General features: G+C 45.3%; 1 protein-coding gene and 1 pseudogene across 27 annotated transcripts in view, besides 3 other annotated features; one reads left to right on the top strand and one right to left on the bottom strand.

The window, feature by feature from the left end:
* FAM222B (family with sequence similarity 222 member B) overlaps positions 1–21,259 on the top strand; it is a 99,025-nt gene that overhangs the window by 36,039 nt on the left and 41,727 nt on the right. For 3 of the 27 annotated variants that reach the window (NM_001288634.2, XM_047436378.1, XM_047436377.1), the window contains exon 1: positions 6,495–6,757. The exons of 19 other annotated variants lie outside the window; for them this stretch is intronic. The gene's annotated coding sequence lies outside the window, so the exon portion shown is untranslated. Of the gene's footprint in view, positions 1–6,494; positions 6,809–10,334; positions 12,465–21,259 lie in introns of those variants that run through there. 5 more of the 27 variants (XM_047436386.1, XM_047436380.1, XM_047436382.1 and 2 more) reach the window with 3 other exon arrangements.
* Positions 6,282–6,924: an enhancer, noted in NCBI's record as "H3K27ac hESC enhancer chr17:27139060-27139702 (GRCh37/hg19 assembly coordinates)". NCBI's record gives its function as "activates a minimal SCP1, AML or CMV promoter by ChIP-STARR-seq in primed H9 embryonic stem cells {active_cell/tissue: H9 hESC(primed)}" and the evidence as "EXISTENCE:reporter gene assay evidence [ECO:0000049][PMID:30033119]".
* Positions 6,467–6,756: a silencer, noted in NCBI's record as "silent region_8355". NCBI's record gives its function as "represses an Ori minimal core promoter by ATAC-STARR-seq in GM12878 lymphoblastoid cells {active_cell/tissue: GM12878}" and the evidence as "EXISTENCE:reporter gene assay evidence [ECO:0000049][PMID:35858748]".
* Positions 9,284–10,225: an enhancer, noted in NCBI's record as "NANOG-H3K27ac hESC enhancer chr17:27135759-27136700 (GRCh37/hg19 assembly coordinates)". NCBI's record gives its function as "activates a minimal SCP1, AML or CMV promoter by ChIP-STARR-seq in primed H9 embryonic stem cells {active_cell/tissue: H9 hESC(primed)}" and the evidence as "EXISTENCE:reporter gene assay evidence [ECO:0000049][PMID:30033119]".
* Positions 16,173–16,539, bottom strand: RPL31P58 (ribosomal protein L31 pseudogene 58; annotated as a pseudogene).

Raw genomic sequence — 21,259 nt, 5'->3', positions numbered from 1 at the left:
GAACCGTGCCATTTTATCTACAGGAGAAGCCATTGGCTTTGGCACTAGAAGGGAATTGGCTGTGCATTTAAAGATGCCAAATCATGCTCGATTCACAAGTTTGCTGTCTCATTTTGTCTATGTGTGTGAAACTTTTTCAGGATTTTGGCTTTTTACTTTTTCTACCATGTGCTACCCCATCAGTATGAAAAATTAACAACTTGCCCCTTCTTTCCAGCTCTCTACTCCCAGAACATACAACCCAAACATCCTAAACCATAAATGATGGAGCAGTCATTTTGAAGATTAGGGAAAAATATACCATACAAGTGTTTCCCTTTGGCACCCTTGTCGTGACTTTGAGCTTTAATTCTGGTTTATCAGTCATTCCTATAGAGTCTTGTTATTTTTATTTTTATTTTTATTTTTTATTTTTATTCTTTTTTTTTTTTGAGACGGACTCTCGCTCTGTCGCCCTGGAGACAGGCTGGAGTGCAGTGGCGCGATCTCGGCTGACTGCAAGCTCCGCCTCCCAGGTTCACGCCATTCTCCTGCCTCAGCCTCCCAAGTAGCTGGGACTGCAGGTGCCCACCACCACGCCCAGCTAATTTTTTGTATTTTTAGCAGAGACAGGGTTTCACCGTGTTAGCCCAGATGGTCTCGATCTCCTGACCTCGTGATCCGCCCACCTCGGCCTCCCAAAGTGCTGGGATTACAGGCGTGAGCCACCGCGCCTGGCCTATTTTTATTTTTTTAAAGGCAGGGTCTTGCTCTGTCACTGAGGCTTGGAGTGCTGTGGCACGATCATAGCTCACTATAACCTTGAACTCTTACTCCTGGGCTCAAATGATCCTCCCACCTCAGCCTCCCAAGTAGCTAGAAGTATAAACCACCCCCTACACCCCACCTTCATGCCTTTTAAACTGCATGCAATAGATTTTGAAGCCTAACCAACTAGTTATTTTAGCAAATCTTCTTTACCAGATAATGCTTCTACTTTCATAGATAGAAGTTTAAAGATACCATCTAGGTATAGGTTATTTCCATTTAGATTAAGGCCAGAAATGTTGTTATTAGGAGAAAAAGCCAATTTGGATAGGCTGGTTTGTCTAGTGTGAATTATTATATATAGGCACATGTTTTTCCTCTCTCTTCTAGGAATGATTCTCCTTCTGTCCTGTCCCATATCCATAGTCTCCCAAAGTCATGGGTTTGATTCTCTACTCTGCATTCTCTGTTGTAGTTTGCCTATTATTATTATTATTTTGAGATGGAATTTCACTCTTGTTGCCCAAGCTGGAGTGCAATGGCACAATCTCAGCTCACTGCAACCTCTGCCTCCTGGGTTCAAGCGATTCTCCTGCCTCAGCCTCCCGAGTAGCTGGGATTATAGGCGACCACCATGGCCGGCTAATTTTTTGTATTTTTAGTAGAGACAGGGTTTCACCATGTTGGCCTGGCTGGTCTCGAACTCCTGACCTCAGGTAGTCCAGCCTCGGCCTCCCAAAGTGTTGGGATTACAGGCGTGAGCCTCTGTGCCTGGCCTTATTATGATTATTAATTTTTTTTTTTTTGAGACAGAGTCTCACTCTGTTGCCCAGGCTGGAGTTCAGTGGTGCGATATCGGCTCACTGCAATCTCTGTCTCCCAGGTTCAAGCGATTCTCCTATCTCATCCTCCTGAGTATCTGGGATTACAGGCATGTGCCACCACGCCCGGCTAATTTTTGTATTTTTTAGTAGAGATGGGGTTTCACAATGTTGGCCAGGCTGGTCTCGAACTGCTGACCTCAGTTGATCCATCTGCTCGGCCTCCCAAAGTGCTGGGATTACAGGTGTGAGCCACTGCGCCGGGCTTATTACTATTTTTTTTTTTAACAGTCATGTCTTCTCTAACTAAACTAAGTACTTTAAAGACAAAGACCACATCTTATTAATCTTTTTGTCTCTGGGGTCTAATAGAATTTCAGGCATACAGGAATACAGTACATATTTGATGATGTTAGTGAATGAGTAAAACAAAATCCCAGATTTTATTTGGATTTTTATACTCCCCTGTAGTGTCTGAAACAGAAAGTGCAGCCAGTTAAAACCCTTTAATTACTGTTACACCTTGCTACTTTGAAGTGATAGTGCCAGGAATTCCCTTAAAAAAAATTACCACAGTGTTTTTCTCAGGCCTACTGTTCTCTTGAAGTCTAATGAACAATAAAGGTTTTATCAAAGTTTCTATGCTCTGTGTCATGGGTGTTTGAATTCTGTAAATATGACGTAGCAGTTCTTTATGAGGAAATTGTCTTTTTAAGACTGTTTGCCTTCTTTTCGGGTGCAATCATTGTTTTTTTTTGTTTTTTTTATTCCGTTCTACTGGGAACTGTGTCGTTTTGATTGGAGTAAATTAAGTGTCAGAGTTACATTTTATTTATTTTTTTTTTGGTTGTTATAAATGCCATTTAGGAAATTTGCAAAATAGGGTGCTCAAGAAATAATGAGGTGCAAACTGATCAGTCTAGAGGGATATTACCTAAACTAATTTTTAGTCTAGCCTATTGATCTCTTCCATCTATTTTTGAGAGATGTTTATGTTTTAGTATCTTTTACTGACTATAAAAGATATGTTCAACATAGTTTAAAGATGATAAAATCTGTAATTTCACTAAGTTAACATAGTAAAAATGACAAAATTAATGCTTTTTATTTACTTATTTATTTTTTGAGACGGAGTCCCACTCGCCCAGGCTGGAGTGCAGTGGCATGATCTTGGCTCATTGTAATCTCTGCCTCCTGGGTTCAAGCAATTTTCCTGTCCCAGCCTCCCGAGTAGCTGGGATTACAGGCCCCCACTACCATACTGGGCTAATTTTTTTTTTTAATTGTAGCGATGAGGTTTCACCATGTTGGCCAGGCTGGTTTTGAATCCCTGACCTCAAGTGATCTGCCCTATTTCAGCATCCCAAGGTGCTAGGATTGATTACAGGCGTCAGCTACCATGCCGTGCCTTAATTTTTTTTTTTTTTTTTTGAGACGGAGTCTCGCTCTGTTGCCCAGGCTGGAGTGCAGTGGCACGATCTCAGCTCACTGCAACCTGCGCCTCCCGGTTTCAAGCGATTCTCCTACCTCAGCCTGCTGAGTAGCTGGGATTACAGATGCGCGCCACCACACTTGGCTAATTTTTGTACTTTTTTTTAGTAGAGACAGGGTTTTACCATATTGGCCAGGCTGATCTCAATCTCCTGACCTCGAGATCTGCCTGTCTCAGCCACCCAAAGTGCTGGAGTTACAGTCGTGAGTCATCACACCTGGCTGCTAATTTTTGTATTTTTTGTAGAGACAGGGTTTCACTGTGTTGCCCAGGCTGGTCTTGAACTCCTGAGCTCAAGTGATCCACCCACCCTGACCTCCCGAAGTGCTGGGATTACAGGCATGAGCCACTGCACCTGGCCCGCTTTTTTATTTTTTAAAAGATGTAATAAAGGCCGGGCACGGTGGCTCACGCCTGTAATCCCAGCACTTTGGGAAGCCGAGTCGGGCGGATTACGAGGTCAAGAGATCGAGATCATCCTGGCTAACACGGTGAAACCCCGTCTCTACTAAAGAATACAAAAAATTAGCTGGGCTTGGTGGCAGGCACCTGTAGTCTCAGCTACTTGGGAGGCTGAGGCAGGAGAATGGCATGAACCTGGGAGGTGGAGGTTGCAGTGCGCCGAGATCGCGCCACTGCACTCCAGCCTGGGTGACAGAGCGAGACTCTGTCTTTAAAAAAAAAAAAAAAAGATGTAATAAATTCTCTTCTTCAGTTCTCCCTACCTGTATTCTTATTCTCTCAATAACTACTGTTGACGGATTGGTGTAACATCTAGATATTATATTGGACCAAGAGATGTATATTTATATGTGTTTAAAAAATAGCTGTGATGCTGGGCGTGGTGGCTCATGCCTGTAATCCCAGCACTTTGGGAGGCGAGGGGGGTGGATCACCTGAGGTCTGGAGTTCGAGATCAGCCTGGGCAACATGGTGAAACCCCGTTTCTACTAAAAATACAAAAATTAGCCGGGCACGGTGGCTCGTGCCTGTAATCCCAGCTACTCGGGAAGCTGAGGCAGGAGAATCGCTTGAGCCCGGGAGGCAGAGGTTGCAGTGAGCCAAGATTGTGCTGTTGCACTCCAGCCTGGATGACAGATCGAGACTCTTATCTCAAAAAAAAAAAAAAAAAAAAGATCGGCCTGGCACGTTGGCTCATGCCTGTAATCCCAGCACTTTGGGAGGCCGAGGCAGGCAGATCACTTGAGGTCAGGAGTTCGAGACTAGCCTGGCCACCATGGCGAAACCCCGTCTCGAGTAAAAATACAAAAGTTAGCCAGGCGTGGTGGTGTGCACCTGTAATTTCAGCTACTTGGGAGGCTGAGGCAGAACTGCTTGAACCTAGGAGGCGGAGGTTGCAGTGAGTCAAGATTACACCACAGCATCTCACCACTGCACTCCAGCTTGGGAAACAGAGCGAAACTCCGTCTCAAAAATAAATAAAATAAAAACAGGCATGTCATACAGCTCCTTTTCCATCTTCCAGGAGTACTGAGGTTGTTATATATGAAATGTTTTGAGTTCCAAGGTAGCCTAGACTGCTTAATTTTAAAGTTTTGTTTTGTTTTAAATTATAGTAGTGTTCGGGGGGATTAAGCAGTGTTGTAGAGTGTGATGTAGATATTTAATGTTATGCACTTGCAAGAACGCTGAATAAAAATGACATTCTAGGTAATAGCTTGCCTTTCCTGACCCCCGTTTTCTTTTTCTTTTCTTTTTTTTTTTTTGGAGTTAGAGTCTTACTCTCACTCAGGCTGGAGTGCAGTGGCACGGTCTCTGCTCACTGTACTCTGCCAAGTAGCTGGGACTACCGTGCGAGTTACCACGCCTAGCTACCTCTAAAATTTGTGGTAGAGGTGGGGTTCTCACCAGGTCACCATGTTGACCAGGCTGGTCTCGAACACCTGGGTTCAAGTGATCTGCCCACGTTGGCCTCCCAAAGTGCTGGGATTACAGGTGAGACACACCGCGCCCGGCCAGTTTTCTTAAATGAGCCCCATGTAGTGCTCTATCACTACACCCCAGAAAATATACCACAGTGTTTAAAATGTCCTATTCCATGCCGGGCGCGGTGGCTGACGCCTGTAATACCAGCACTTTGGAAGGCCGAGGCGGGCGGATCACGACGTCAGGAGATCGAGACCGTCCTGGCTAACACAGTGAAACCCCGTCTCTACTAAAAAATACAAAAAAAAAAAAAAAATTAGCTGGGCGTGATGGCGGCCACCTGTAGTCCCAGCTACTCCAGCTACTTGGGAGGCTCAGGCAGGAGAATGGCATGAACCTGGGAGGCGGAGCTTGCAGTGAGCCAAGATCTCGCCACTGCACTCCAGCCTGGGCAACAGAGCGAGACTCCGTCTCCAAAAAAAACAAAAAAAAAAGAAACAACTGTCAAAATCAGGAAAGTAACATTGACACATTACTTCCATATAATTATCAGATCCTCTTCAACTGTTGCTTATTATTATACCAGTTATATACTTTATAGCAAAAAGGATCCAGGTCAGAATCACACATTGCATTTATTTTTCATGTTGTCTTAGTCTCCTCCAGTCTGGTTGCTGAGAGTATGTTCCCCATAATATTAGGTATATGACTGAACAAGGATTAGGTGTTTGCTTCCTAATTGTACTGAAACCTGCTAAAGGAATTGTTATCTTGGGATTTAACTGGATTGGATACATCCAGCTAAATACATTGGATGTTTTGTATCTGAAACAGGTTGGAGCCAACTATGTGTGTTTTTTTTTTTTGTATGTGTGTGTTTTTTTTTTTTTTGTGTCTGATGATTTCATGTATTCCCTTCTCCACCCCACCAACTTCTAGATACATACTTTCCCAACATGCCTCCAACGCCCCCCCCTCCCCCCCCCCCCCCCCCCCGCTTAATTTCTGCGTCACGGGAAGCACGAGTTTCCGACAGGGAGGATTGATGTGTGCAGTTGATTTAATATGCAATCCTAAATCCGTCCACTGTTACAGTGCAGTGCAGTTGATTAGACTAGAGGCAGAGAGGCTTGGGGAGCATCTTTTTACTGTCGAGTGTCTCCAGGTGGCAATTGCTGTTGAAGTCTGAGGCACTCTGGGAGGTATCGCGTGGGTGGGGGGGGGTCTCCTAGTACCCAGGCAGAAAGTGGGAGGGGACAAGGGGACAGAGGGAGAAGGGGTGCAAAGGGGCGCAGCTTCACCTGGCCCAGCTACGGGATGCTTGGCTCCTGGCTTTGGGGTAGGGGCCGGGAGAGATGGGGGCAGCGCTAACAAAGAGGAGCCGAGTCGGGCCGGGTCCGCGGGTAGCGGGCCTATCCCGGTGGCTGACCTCCCTGTGGGCCTCCCCAGTTGGCTGTTTGGCGAGTCGCTCTGCTGGCTCCCTGGCTCGCCATTGGCTGTGCAGACAGGAGAGGGCTCGCGAAGAGCCAGGGTGGAGGTGAGGGGGCGGGGCTGGCTTCCGGCGGCGGCTGGGAGCAAGCGGCAGCCGGCTGGGGGAGGGGGTGTCGGCGCACCGCGGAGTCCTGCGCTCCGTGAGCCTGGCACCCGGAGCAGCCGCCTCCCCCTCCCCCTGCCTAGACCGCTAGAAGCCCCCTCTCTTCCATCCTCCCGGGGCGGGGGTGAGCTGGGCTCAGCTGCCCAAGGCGGGCGGGGCGGAGCCAGGAGCCCCACGGAGCGCTGCGGAGCGAACCTCACCTTTCCAGGGCGCAAGGTGTGTGTGTGCTTTTTCTAACGCGACCCCGACTTCAGCCGACTTAACCTTGTAAGAAAAGGGGAAATGGAACGGGAAATAATGTCTCTGGATCGCATCAGTTTATTTTGATTATCTGTTTCTACCCTTCATCATTTTTTTTCCTTCCCTTCATCTCACCCCTGCAGATGGGTAAGGAGATTCAGGACTCTTATCTCTTTTTACTGATGTGTCGATATCGGTCGCATAGTAAAATGCACAGAGAAGAAAAGAGGAGCCCTTTTTTGTGTGGTATCTGATGCAGTAAACCGTAATTTAAAAAAAAGAAAAGGCAAGCTAGGAGTGGATATTTGGAACTGTACTCCATGCGTGTCCATTAAGGTTGTCTTCACCATTTTCCTCCTTGGGACTGCCTTGATCAGCAATAACAATCTGAAAGGAGAGGAGGTGCTAGTGGAAAGAGGGAGCAGCCCCAGTCAAATGGTGGTTAAAGGAAATCCTGATAGTTGTTAGTGATTAACTCTGCTAAAGTCTCTTCCTGGAGTACATTGTCACCGGCTTTGTGTAGTAGCTCATCTCTGTTGGAGAAACCTGACTAGAGCAGGCAAACTTACCTTGCTGTTGCTGAAACTTAAAAGTCTTATCTTTTTCTCTGTTGGTATATTTCTTATATTCACAGACCCTCGGAGGGAGTAGTTTCTATCGTCAAAAACCAAAACCAAACTTAAAAAAACAAACCTCCAGATGTATTTTAGTTCGTGGGGGTTTTTTTGTTTTTGTTTTTGTTTTTTGAGACGAGTCTCGCTCTGTTGCCCAGGCTGGAGTGCAGTGGCGCGATCTCGGCTCACTGCAACCTCTGCCTCCAGGGTTCAAGCGATTCCCCTGTCTTAGCCTCCTGAGTAGCTGGGATTACAGGCGCCTGCCACCACACCTGGCTAATTTTTTGTATTTTTAGTAGTGACCGGGTTTCACCGTGTTAGCCAGGATGGTCTTGATATCCTGACCTCGTGATCCACCCGCCTCGGCCTCCCAAAGTGCTGGGATTACAGGCGTGAGCCACCGCGCCTGGCCTAAATGGGCATTTTCAACGAAACGTGTTTGGAGCAGGTTTATCTTAATGTTGATTAGCAAAGAGCTACAGTACCAAAAGGGATGAATATTTTTTTTTTTGGCAACACTTTGATAAATATTAATTAAAATGGTTCAGAGTTTATGTAATACAGGTTCAGTTTCCCACGATTGTTGTAACTGGGGTCCACTTTTGAAGACAGAATTGATACACTGGAGCTGTCTTACACTTTTGGCTAGATTAGTGATTTTTTTCTTTGCATTGATTTATTAGATCTCTAGACAATTAGGAGCAATTTGGGATGAAAGCAAGTATTATAAAAAATAGGGATAATGGGATAGGAAACCATTTCAGCTGTGGAAAGTAATAGGGATTACGAAGCTTACTTTACCTTTTTTAAAAAGAAGATTTCAAATACCTTAGAATAGACATGTTACTAAAAAGTAGATTCACAGTAATCCTGTGTCAGGTTTTGGGTTTTTATTACTCACTTGTCCCTTAAGGCTCCATGAGTTGTATTTAAATTGGGAGGGAAAGGGGATCCCCCAGATGTTGACTAGTTAACTTGCTACTGAGAGTGAACTGTTAAAAATCACTGATTGAAGCCTTTACAGTTAGCTAGTATATAAAACAGAGTTAGCTAGTATATAAAACAAAGTTAGCTAGTATATAAAACAAAGTTAGCTAGTATATAAAACAAAGTTAGCTAGTATATAAAACAGAGTTAGCTAGTATGTAAAACAAAGTTAGCTAGTATATAAAACAAAGTTAGCTAGTATATAAAACAGAGTTAGCTAGTATATAAAACAAAGTGCACTTTGATATCTAAGGTATAGGAAGCTGGGGAAGTGACCAAAAAAACCAGTTGGAAGGCGGGGTGCAATGGCTTGCTCCTGTAATCCCAGCACTTTGGGAGGCTGAGGTGGGTGGATCACTTGAAGTCAGAAGTTAAAGACCAACATGGTGAAAACCCCGTCTCTACCAAAACATAAAAAAATTAGCTGGGCGTGGTGGTGCACTCCTGTAGTCCCAGCTGCTTGGGAGGCTGAGGTGGGAGAATTGCTGGAACCCGGGAGGCAGAGGTTGCAGTGAGCCAAGGTTGTACCACTGCACTCCAACCTGGGTGACACAGTGAGACCCTGTCTCAAAAAAACAAAAACAAAAACAAAAAAAAACCAGTTGGAGGCTGTACAATTTCAACTTGCTTCTGTCAAAAAACAAGTTTGCCCTTCTATTTGATATCTGGGTGGTTTTTATGTTCTCTACCCATGGGTGAGCAGTAAGTACAGCTTTATAAAGTTATACTTCACTCACTTTTTTATATTACTATTTTTTAATTTTTATGTTTTGTAGAGAATAGGGTCTGGCTCTGTTGCCCAGGTTGGTCTCAAACTCCTGGCCTCAAGCAGCCCTCCCAGAGGCCTCCCAAAGTGTTGGGATTAAGGTGTGAGCCACTGCACCCCTCCACGCCCGATATTTCTATTTTTTTGACTGATTTGTGTGATCACTGTTTTGCATGGTGCAATAATTAGGGGTTCGTGAAAGAATTTTCCCAGGAGACAGAAGACTATGTATAGAACTAATCATAAATGTATTTGCACTGATGTTCAAATATCATTTAAGGGGCATGGAAATCCTGGAATTTGGTCATCTGCAAGGAAACAATTATAGAAAGCCATAATCTCTTAGGTTGAGGGGGCATAGTGCTGGTTGAGGTTAAAGCAGTTGATTTAATTTTCTTTAGCAGTCTGTTTTTATCCAACCTGCTTATTTCATTTCTCTCTCTCTCTCTTTTTTTTTTTTTTTTTGAGACGGAGTCTCGCTCTGTCACCCAGGCTGGAATGCAGTGGCACAATCTCTCTGCTCACTGCAGCCTCTGCTTCCCAGGTTCAAGCAGTTCTCCTGCCTCAGCCTCCTGAGTAGCTGGGACTACAGACACGCACCAGCACGCCTGGCTAATTTTTGTATTTTCAGTAGAGACAGGGTTTCACCATGTTGGCCAGGGTGGTCTCAAACTGACCTCAGATGGTCCACCTGCCTCGGCCTTCCACAGTGCTGGGATTACAGGCATGAGCCACCGTGCCCGGCCCATCCTGCTTATTTCTGTGAGTCACGGCTTGGAATGTGTTAAGAAAAAGGACTCTATGTTCTCTCTAAAGGGAGACTCGAGACTAATCCCCTGTTCACATCAGAAGTATAAAATGATCCCCTTGAGAAGGTGAAAGAAAAATATTGGGCCCTTGGCATTGCTTGATTCTCAGAATAATCAGCTTGAGTGTTGTAAGGTTTGGAATTGGGAAAAGCTTACTCTAGGTGAGAAAATATTAGAGGCACAGGAGACTCTGAGAATGCTCTGTCAATTGTCAGAGACTTATTTAGAACAATGGATGCATTCATATGGAGATGTGGGTGATGGTAGTTTTTAGCTTTTCAGCTTTTTCAGTCAGGTGTCAGAGACAATATTTTGTGTGTTTAAGCACAATCCCCTCCCCCAGGGTTTGACTCTTGGAAGCTGAATCTTTTGAGGAAGTTGTTTGCTATGAGTCTGAATCCTGAAAGTAGAGGACTTGATGGAGTCTGTAATCTGTTTACCACTCAGATGAGGATGTAGAATTTATTGTTGGTGAGTTACTGAACTCTTCCTAAAGAATGGTTGCTTAGGCAAATTTTCTCTCAATCAGTTTAACCCTTAGTAGTTTACAGTCTGTTCTCAGTGAAGGCCAGAGCTGTCTTTCTAATGATACTGTCCTTTAAGAATCCTTGTTGGATATGCATGTGTGTTGTTCAGTGGCTCAAAATAAAGGACTGGAATGATGTATGGTTCTCTCTTCATCCAGGACAATTTAGCTTTTGGTAACCTGGGCTGGCATTGTTATTAATTTCTCTCCTAGATCAAATGGTTGGTGGGGTTGCTTTCCAACGTTAAGACACCACTGTGTTTGATTATTTTGGTTTTGTAACTAATAGGGCAATGAGTAATGCATTCATTTTGGAAACAGGCCAGTGGTAACACAGCTCTTGGGCCTGCTGGACGTGTGGAAAAATAGGACAGAGTAAACAATTGAGGGCATAAATAATGAATCTTCCAACTGAGCCCTGGGAGAGTGAGGGAGATTATCCTCAGAGCTGTTCAGTCTGGCAGTAAAAGGGAAAGAGTCCACTGAATTAATTACCCAGACTGTATTTGATACTGCAGGAGGTATGAGATTGTCAAAACCATTCAAAACAAAGTTACCTTTCCGATACAAACTTTTAATCCATCTTTTTGTTTGTTTTAAACCAGACATTTGAATTGTTCATTTATTTTTTAGAGTCCAGGCCTTTGTATCTTCTTTAAACTTTGTTCTATATGTTAGCATTCTGTGAACACTTGATGGTCCTTTTGTTTAGTCAGATCTTAGAAGTTTACTTCATTAGAGATTTCATGATCTGTAAATACATAAAACGTCTCACAAAAGGTTAAGACAAGAGTTTGGGCCAGATGTGGTGACTCATGCTTGTAATCCCAACACTTCAGGAGGCTGAGGCGGACGGATCACTTGAGGCCAGGAGTTCAAGACCAGCCTGACCAACATGGTGAAACCTCATCTCTACTAAAAATATGAAAATTAGCTGGGCATGGTGGCACAGGCCTGTAATTCCAGCTACTCAGGAGGCTGAGGCAGGAGAATTGCTTGAACCCAGGAAGTGGGGGTTGCAGTGAGCTGAGATCGTTGGACTGCACTCCAGCCTGGGTGACAGAGTGAGACTCCACATAAAAGCAAAACAAACAAACAAAAAAACACACACACAAAAACAAGCGTTTCTTCAGCCCAAGAATCATTTCCAGTATTAAGATAAATATTTGCCAGGCGCGGTGGCTCACGCCTGTAATCCCAGGACTTTGGGAAGCTGAGGCAGGCGGATCACCTGAGTTCGGGAGTTCAAGACCAGCTTGACCAACATGGAGAAACCCCATCTCTATTAAAAATACAAAAATTAGCTGGGTGTGGTGGTGCGTGCCTATAATCCCAGCTACTTGGGAAGCCCAGGCAGGAGAATCGCTTGAACCCAGGAGGTAGAGGTTGCAGTGAGCCGAGATTGTGCCATTGCACTCCAGCCTGGGCAACAGGAACGAAATTCCATCTAAAAAAAAAAAAAGATAAAAAAAGATAAATAGTCTTACTTTTGGATAGTTTTTATCCAGTGAATTAAATGAACATCGGTCTCAGCATTTCTCTGAAGTAGGGAAAACTAATGGCCTGTGATTATCTAAATAACTTAAGTGATTTGGTAGTGAAGCCAGACCGAGAGCCAAGGTCTCTGAATTCTTCCTTTCTCTGAATTTCTAATATAGCTTATTATTTTCTCCAAGAAATTTCAGGAACCCTATTTGAAATGATTTGAAGTTTTCCTATATCTACCCTGAGAGGCTTTTTTTATCTTTCTGGTTGTGAAGGGGATCCAAACACCAGTATGCTATTATTAATCAAAAGAAGAATGCTCAAGATGAGGTATTGGAGAAAGAAAAAATAAAGTTGTTAAGAAAAGACCAACTTGAAGGTGATTTTATTTTGTTTTGTTTTGAGACAGGGTGCCGTCCCAATTATATTGCCCAGGCTGGCCTTGAACTCCCGGACTCAAGCAGTACTCCTGACCCAGCCACCGAAGGGACTACAGGTGTGCACCGTGGTGCCCGACTTCCAAATTGAAGTTTTATTATATTTGGTGCTGGTGGATCCCAGGAAGGAAATACTGGGCTGGTTAGATTAAATTCAGTCATGGACTGAGTTTGTTACATTGCGGCCTAACTGAAAAGGGCAGAGGGCATCTTTACCAAGATATGGACAAGACTCTAGTTAAGAGTTCATTCCTTAGATTCACAGAGACCAAAAAGTGGAAAAAACAAAAGTTCATTCCTGATCTTTGAAAAGTCTGTTATTGATTATACACACAAAAGGGCAAGCAGGCAAAGTATAGACAGGTGAAATCAATCCAAAGATATTCTCAAGGACACTTTTTTTTTTTTTAGTTGGAGTTTCACTCTTGTTGCCTAGGTTGGAGTGCAATGGCGCGATCTCGGCTCACTGCAATGTCCACCTCCCAGGTTCAAGCGATTCTCCTGTCTCAGCCTCCCAAGTAGCTGGGATTATAGGAATGTGCCACCACATGCACCATGTGCCCAGCTAATTTTGTATTTTTAGTAGAGATGGGGTTTCTCCATGTTGGTCAGGCTGGTCTCGAACTCCCGACCTCAGGTGATACGCCCACCTCCACCTCCCAAAGTGCTGGGATTACAGGCGTGACCCACCGTGCCCTGCCTCAAGGGCACATTTTTAGGCAACAGCTTTAACTTCCTCTGGTTTTTAACTGAGGTTTTCTAGGCATACAGACTACTGAAAAATTTGTTTTTTTCTTTGGTCATTCAACTAAGCAGTAGGCAAGATAGCCAAGAACCTGTATTACACTTAGTTTTGTTTTGAGACAGAGATCCCACTTTTTTGTGTTTCTCTTTCTTTCTTTTTTTTTTTGAGACAGGTTCTCACTGTGTCATCCAGGTTCGAATATAGTGTGATCACGGCTCACTGCAGTCTCCACCCCTTGGGCTCAGGCAGTCTTCCCATCTCAGCCTCTTTTATTTTTTTTGAGATGGGAGGCTTGCTCTGTCACCCAGGCTGGAGTTCAGTGGCATGATCTCGGCTCACTGTAACCTCCACCTCCTGGGTTCAAGTGATTCTTGTGCCTCAGCCTCCTGAATAGCTGGGATTACAGGCATGTACCACCACACCAGGCTAATTTTTGAATTTTCAGTAGAGACGGGGTTTCACCATGTTGGCCAGGTTGGTCTCGAACTTCTGGCCTCAAGTGATCTGCCTGCCATGGCCTCCCAAAGTGGTGTGAGCCACCATGCCCGGCCCATCTCAGCCTCTTGAGTAGGTAGGACCACAGGTTCGCATCATCATGCCTGGCTACTTTTTTCATTTTTTATAGAGACGGGGTCTCCCTATGTTGTCCAGGTTGGTCCCAAACTCCTGGGCTCCAATGATCCTCCCACCTTGGCCTCCCAAGTGCTGGGATTAGAACCATGAGCTATCATGTCCAGACTACACTTAGTTTCTTTCTTTTTTTTTTTCCTGAGATGGAGTCTCGCTCTGTCGCCCAGACCAGAGTGCAGTGGCGTGATCTCGGCTCACTGCAAGCTCTGCCAATGGGGTTCACGCCATTCCCCCGCCTCAGCCTCCCGAGTAGCTGGGACTATAGGTGCCTGCCACCACGCCTGGCTAATTTTGTTTCTGTATTTTCAGTAGAGATGGGGTTTCACTGTGTTAGCCAGGATGGTCTCGATATCCTGACCTTGTGATCTGCCCACCTTGGCCTCCCAGAGTGCTGGGATTATAGGCGTGAGCCACCGCACCCGGCCTGCACTTAGTTTCTTAATCATCAAAAGTAGTATATAACTCAGTACTGGACCTAGAAAAATTCAGCTCAATGTAGTATCCTTGGGACAGTTTGTTTTATTTAATACTAAATATAAAATCTATATTAGAGGCCAGGCATGGTGGCTCATGCCTGTAATCCCAGCACTTTGGGAGGCCGAGGTGTGTGGATCACAAGGTCAAGAGATCAAGGCCATCCTGGCCAACATAGTGAAACCCCTTCTCTACTAAAAAATACAAAAGTTAGCTGGGCGTGGTGGCGCGTGCCTGTAGTCCCAGCTACTCGGGAGGCTGAGGCAGGAGAATCGCTTGAACCCGAGAGGTGGAGGTTGCGGTGAGCCGAGATCGCGCCACTGCGCTCTAGGCTGGCGACAGGGCGAGACTGTGCCTGAAAAAAAAAAAAAATCTGTATTAGCATTCTCCAGAGAAACAACCAGTAGGGTAAATATATAAGAGGGGATTAGGACTTGGCTCATTTAGTTATGGAGGCTGAGAAGTTCCACAATATGCTGTCTGCAAGCCCGAGAACCAGGAAAGCTGGTGGTGTCATTCAGTCTGAGACCAAAGGCCTAAGAACTAGGAGCTCTGATTGCCAAGGGGAGGAGAAGATAGATGTCCTGGTTCCCGAAGAGACCTGACCTTTGTTACTTAATCACACTGAGGTGCTATGGAGAATTAAAATCTTTCAAGTAAGTCATACGTAAACTAGCTTTTGATACTGAAATGTCATTTTTGTTTGTTTTTTGCTTTTTGGTTTTTTTTTTGAGACGTGGTCTTGCTCTGTCACCCAGGCTGGAGCGCAGTGGCATGATCTCGGCTTACTGCATCCTCTGCCTCCCAGGTTCAAAAAGTTCTCTGCCTCAGCCTCCCAAGTAGTTGGGATTACAGGCACCTGCCACCACACCCAGCTAATTTTTTTGTATTTTTTTAGTAGAGATGGGGTTTCACCATCTTGGCCAGGCTGGTCTTGAACTCCTGACCTCTTGATCCACCCGTCTCGGCCTCCCAAAGTGCTGGGATTACAGGCGTGAGCCACCGCACCTGGCTGAAATGTCTTCATTGTTGGTGTCTTCTGACCCCATAGTATATGTAAATAATTCATCATATGTGGGTGAGCTGTTGGTAGCTAAGCCAAAGAAACAAACTGCAGCCAGACACAGTGGCTTATGCCTGTAATCCCAACACTTTGGGAGACTGAGGCAGGAGGATTGCTTGAGCCCAGGAGTTTGAGACCCGCCCAAGCAAGATGGTGAGACCCTCTCTATAAAAAAATTAGGTGGGTGTGGTGATGTGTGCCTGTACTCCCAGCTACTTGGGAGGCTGAGATGGAAAGATCCCTTGAGCCCAGGAGTTCGAGGTTGCAGTGAGCTGCTATCCCAAGTAGTGAGAGAGCAGGGTGAGAGAGCAGGACCGTGTCTCTAAAAAGAAAAAAGAAGAACCTGGGTACGGTGGCTCATGCCTGTAATCTCCACACTTTGGGAGGCCAAGGTGGGCAGATCACTTGAAGTCAGGCATTCGAGACCAGCCTGGCCAACCTGGTGAAACACTGTCTCTACTAAAATTCAAAAATTAGCCAGGCATGGTGGCATGCACCTGTAATCCCAGTTACTCAGGAGGCTAAGGCAGGAGAATTGCTTGAACTTGGGAGGTGGAGGTTGCAGTGAGCCGAGATTGCACCACTGTACTCCAGCCTAGGCAACAGAGTGGGACTCCCTCTCAAAAAAAAAAAGAAAAAGCAAAGAAACAAACCTCTCTTCTTAACCAAAGCAAAGTTTTCTAACACTGGGCAATACTTGCTAATAATCAGAGCTGTTGGCTGAAATGAAATCCATTTAGAATAGTCAGTGTGTGATGAAAGTAGTACTGTCATCACTTTGTTGTTGTTTTTGCAGTTGTATAATTTTATTTGATGACCAGTGGTTAGTTCTTATCCACATGGAGTGTCTGTAGATTTTGAAAGTGGTAACAGGTACATAAGTAACCAAAGTATAGAGCTTGTTTTAGTGAATTTTTATCTTCATTACATTTTCTGGACAACCACGCAGGGATACACTGTGTGAGACATTCCTTATTCCTTTGGCCCAGACAGCTTTGTTGAGCCTGCTATCAATGTGTGCATCTGGGGTCCTCATCTCCCTCATGGCAAATTTCCAGATCTCTTTGAGTGCCTGAGGGGCTTGCTTCTTAGAGGCTCACTCCATGAATGCACTTGTGAATCTCAATAGTGTATTCTTGGGTTACCACCTGGTTGATGGCAGAACAGCCTTTCTTCTTACCACCCTTTGCGGGAGCCATTCTGCTAGGCCCAAATTGGAAAGCAGTCATCACTTTAAAGCTGGGGGTTTCTGGCTGGGCGCAGTGGCTCATGTCTATAATCCCAGCACTTTGGGAGGCCGAGGTGGGTGGATCACTTGAGGTCAGGAGTTTGAGACCAGCCTGGCCAACATGGTGAAACCTTATCTCTACTAAAAATACAAAAATTAGTGGGGTGTGGTGGCAGACACTTGTAATCCCAGCTACTCGGGAGGCTGAAGCAGGAGAATTGCTTGAACCTGGGAGGCAGAGGTTGCAGTAAGCCGAGATCGCACCATTGCCGATCACACCATTGCACCTGGGCCACAGAGTAAGACTCTTTCTCAGAAAAAAAAGCTGGGGGTTTCTTTAAGTGCTGTTTGCTGGGAAGATATTACCTGAACAATCACTTTTTTTCTTTTTCTTTTTTTCTTTTTTTTTTTTTGCATTCAGCAAAGTGTTTTTGAGGATCAGTTGCTGAACTGAATGAAAATCAGATTTTATGCCACTTGCAGAATTGGGATGATTTAGACAACATTCGTGTTGCTTCAAAGGAGAAGCATAAGCATTATTAGTCATAACTTAAGATTTACTTCCTTCCAAAAGCTAAGCACTTCTACCATTGGCATTTTATTTATCTTCATTCTTATTATGTAAAGGATAGGACTTAATCTACTTTAAAAGGAAAGATATATCAAGTCTGTGAGAAGTTGAAGACAGCTCATCCTAAATTAGGAGGGAAAAGTCCCATTTACTGGGTTCCTGTATGGACCCTCTGCCTTACCCAGCTATTCAGCTGGGAATGGTTTTACTAGAAGAAGAAGAACAACAATAATAATAATAATAATAGTAAAGTGCTGGGATTACAGGCGTGAGCCACCATGCCCAGCCTGTTTTACTATTATGAAGACATTAATTTAGCAGCTGTAAAGATACTGGTTTGGCTTTTGCTTATCTTACTCTCCCAGAACTTTTTCTTTTCTTTTTTTTTTTTTTTTTTTGAGACGGAGTCTCGCTGTCGCCCAGACTGGAGTGCAGTGGCATGATCTTGGCTCACTGCAGCCTCCGCCCCCCGGGGTTCACACCATTCTCCTGCCTCAGCCTCCTGAGTAGCTGGGACTACAGGCGCCCGCCACATCGCCCGGCTAATTTTTTGTATTTTTAGTAGAGACGGGGTTTCACTGTGTTAGCCAGGATGGTCTCGATCTCCTGACCTCGTGATCCGCCCGCCTTGGCCTCCCAAAGTGCTGGGATTACAGGCGTGAGCCACTGCGCCTGGTCTTTTTTTTTTTCTTTGAGACGGAGTCTCGCTCTGTCGTCCAAGCTGGAGTGCAGTGGCACGATCTCGGCTCACTTTAACCTCCACCTCCCAGGTTCAAGCAATTCTCCTGCCTCAGCCTCCTGAGTAGCTGGGTTACAGGCGCCTGCCACCACGCCCAGCTAATTTTTGTATTTTTAGTAGAGATGGGGTTTCACCATGTTGGTCAGGCTGGTCTCGAACCCCTGACCTTGTGATCCACCCGCCTCGGCCTCCCAAAGTGCTAGGATTACAGGTGTGAGCCACCGCGCCTGGCCAACTTTTTTTTTTTTTTTTTTTTTCAACAAAATGTGGAACTAGTAGCTTAATTAAGAATCCACATCTTAGTTTTAACTTGTCTTGCCAGGTGTTACTGTGCATTCACTAAAGTGCTTTACAAAATATTTTAATATTTGGCCTATATTTAGTGAGGTATGGTGCAATTGGAGAGTGATACTGTGTTAGAACTTTTCTCCAGAGAGACAAAAAGAACCTTTCATTTTAAGAAAAGTCCTTTGACTATTTCCATAGTCCCTGGCAAAATTAAGTTGGAAAAGGCAGCTTTTTCAGCCAGATATATTTTTATTTTTGCCTCTTCTCCAAGCTGAACCAGTGTCCCAACTGAAATGTGTCATTCTTATCAGTGATAGTATATTTTGGGAGAAATTGTTCCTTAGTGCGCCTAGAAGTAAGAAGCTTATGCCACTTCAGCCTGCACATCAATTTTAATAGCTCTCTAAAATTGTTTATACCAACTCCCTCCACCTCACATCTGTCCACATCTGCTCATCTTTCAGTTCCTCACAACTAGTTAAGAAAGTCTCATAGGCCGGGTGCGGTGGCTCACGCCTGTCATCCCAGCACTTTGGGAGGCCAAGGCATGCAGATCACCTGAGGTCGGGAGTTCGAGACCAGCCTGACCAACATGGAGAAACCCCGTCTGTGAAAAATACAAAATTAGCCAGGTGTGGTGGCTCATGCCTGTAATCCTAGCTACTCGGGAAGCTGAGGCAGGAGAATCGCTTGAACGCGGGAGGCGGAGGTTGCTGTGAGCCGAGATCGTGCCATGGCACTCCAGCATGGGCAACAAGAGTGAAACTCCGTCTCAAAAAAAAAAAAAAGAAAGTATCATTGCTCAACCAGAGAAATGCCAGTCTTTATCAAAGTCATAGTTACATACAACAGCAGTCTTTGGTATGTGTGGAAGTTTGCATTACTTTGTTTTCTTATTGTTTAAAGAGCCTTTCTTGCCAGGTGTGGTGACTCACACCTATAATCCTAGAACTTTGGGAGGCCAAGGCAGGAGGATCTCCTGAGCCTAGGAGTTCAAGACCAGCCTGGGCAACAGCCGAGATCTTGTTTCTACAAAAAATAAAATAATTACCTGAGTGTGGTGGCAATCACCTGTAGTCCCAGCTTACTCAGGAGATTGAGGCAGGAGGATCACTTGAGCCTAGGAGTTTGAGGCTGCAGTGAGCTATAGTGGTGCAACTGCACTGAAGCCTGGGTGACAGAGTGAGCCCTGTCTCTTAAAAAAAGAAAGTTTTGGCTGGGCGCGGTGGCTCACGCCTGTAATCCCAGCACTTTGGTAGGCCGAGGTGGGCGGATCACGAGGTCAGGAGATCGAGACCATCCTGGCGAACACTGTGAAACCCCGTCTCTACTAAAAATACAACAACAACAAAAAAAAATTAGCCGGTCGTGGTGGCAGGCGCCTGTGGTCCCAGCTACTTGGGAAGCTGAGGCAGGAGAATCGCTTGAACCCGAGAGGCAGAGGTTGCAGTGAGTTGAGATCGCACCACTGCACTCCAGCTTGGGCGACAGACCGAGACTCGGTCTCAAAAAAAAAAAAAAAAAAGTTTTTCTGTGTTACAAAAACAAGAGGCCAGTCGCGGTGGCTCACACCTGTAATCCCAGCACTTTGGGAGGCCGAGGTGGGTGGATCATGAGGTCAAGAGATCGACACTATCCTGGTCAACATGGTGAAACCCCGTCTCTACTAAAAATACAACAATTAGCTGGGCATGGTGGTGTGCGCCTGTAGTCCCAGCTACTTGGGAGGCTGAGGCAGGAGAATTGCTTGAACCCGGGAGGCGGAGGTTGCAGTGAGCCGAGATCGTGCCACTGCACTCCATCCTGTCAACAGAGTGAGACTCCATCCCAAAAAAAGAAAAAAAAAACAACAGGATTCCATTCTTGAAAACAAGTTGATAAATTGCTTTTTATTAAAGGTGCAAGTGGCCTGGTGTGGTGGCTCACGCCTGTAATCCCAGCACTTTGGGAGGCCGAGGCGGGTGGATCACGAGGTCAGGAGATCGAGACTATCCTGGCTAACACGGTGAAACCCTGTCTCTACTAAAAATACAAAAAATTAGCCGGGCATAGTGGCGCTACTCAGGAGGCTGAGACAGGAGAATAATGTGAACCCGGGAGGCGGAGCTTGCAGTGAGCCGAGATCGCGCCACTGCACTCCAGTTTGGGCGAGAGAGCAAGACTCCGTTTCAAAAAAAAAAAAAGGGGGTGCAAGTGCCTAAGTATTAAACTTCACATGAGAAAACAAAAACTGTATTAGTTATGGTTAAGTGCTTTTTAAAAAATTACCTAATTAAAAGCTGTGCTGCTGTCTTGCACTGAAACTAACAGGTAAACCATGGAGAAACTGTAGTTTCTTAGTGAGGATTGCTCTGACTATGCTGTTTAAAATTATTACCCTACCCAGTACTTTCTATTTCCTTACACTGCTTTATTTATTTAATTTGTTATTATTATTTTTGAGACAGGGTCTTACTCTGTTTGCCCGGGCTGGAGTGCAGTGGCATGATCTTGGCTCACTGCAGCCTCAACCTCCTGGGCTCAGGTGATTCTCTGACCTTAGCCTTCCAAGTAGGTGAGATTGTAGGTGCACGCCATCACACCCGGCTAATTGTTTGTATTTTTAGTAGGTTTTGCTCTTGCCAGGCTGGTCTCAAACTCTTGGACTCCTGCAGTCTGCTCACCTCAGCCTCCCAGAGTGTTGAGATTACCAGTGTGAACCACCGCGCCTGACCTATTTATTTTTCATATTTTTTTCGTAGCGTTTATTACTCTTTTTGTGTGGCTGGGGGACCGGGTCTCACTGTCACCCAGGCTGGAGTGTAATGGCACGATCATGGCTCCTTGCAGCCTCCACCCCTGGGGCTCAAGTGATCCTCCCATCTCAGCCTCCTGTGGAGCTGGGACCAAAGGTGCACACTACCACACCTGGCTAATTTTTTTTTTGTAGAGATGGGGTCTCCCTATGTTGTCCAGACTGGTCTTGCTCTTGGGCTCAAGCAGTCCTCCTGCCTCAGCCTCCTAAATTTCTGGGATTACAGGCATGATCCGTGATGGCTGTCCAGTTTCTAGTATCTTTATATGTGAAAATGGGGCTGATGATACATACCCAACCTATCTCAAAGGGCATCTTGAGA

This window comes from Homo sapiens, chromosome 17 (genome assembly GCF_000001405.40).
Source record: "Homo sapiens chromosome 17, GRCh38.p14 Primary Assembly".
Classification (NCBI taxonomy): Eukaryota; Metazoa; Chordata; class Mammalia; order Primates; family Hominidae; genus Homo; species Homo sapiens.
The sequence above is the reverse complement of the archived record's forward strand: the minus strand, read 5'-3'. Positions and strand labels throughout refer to the sequence as shown.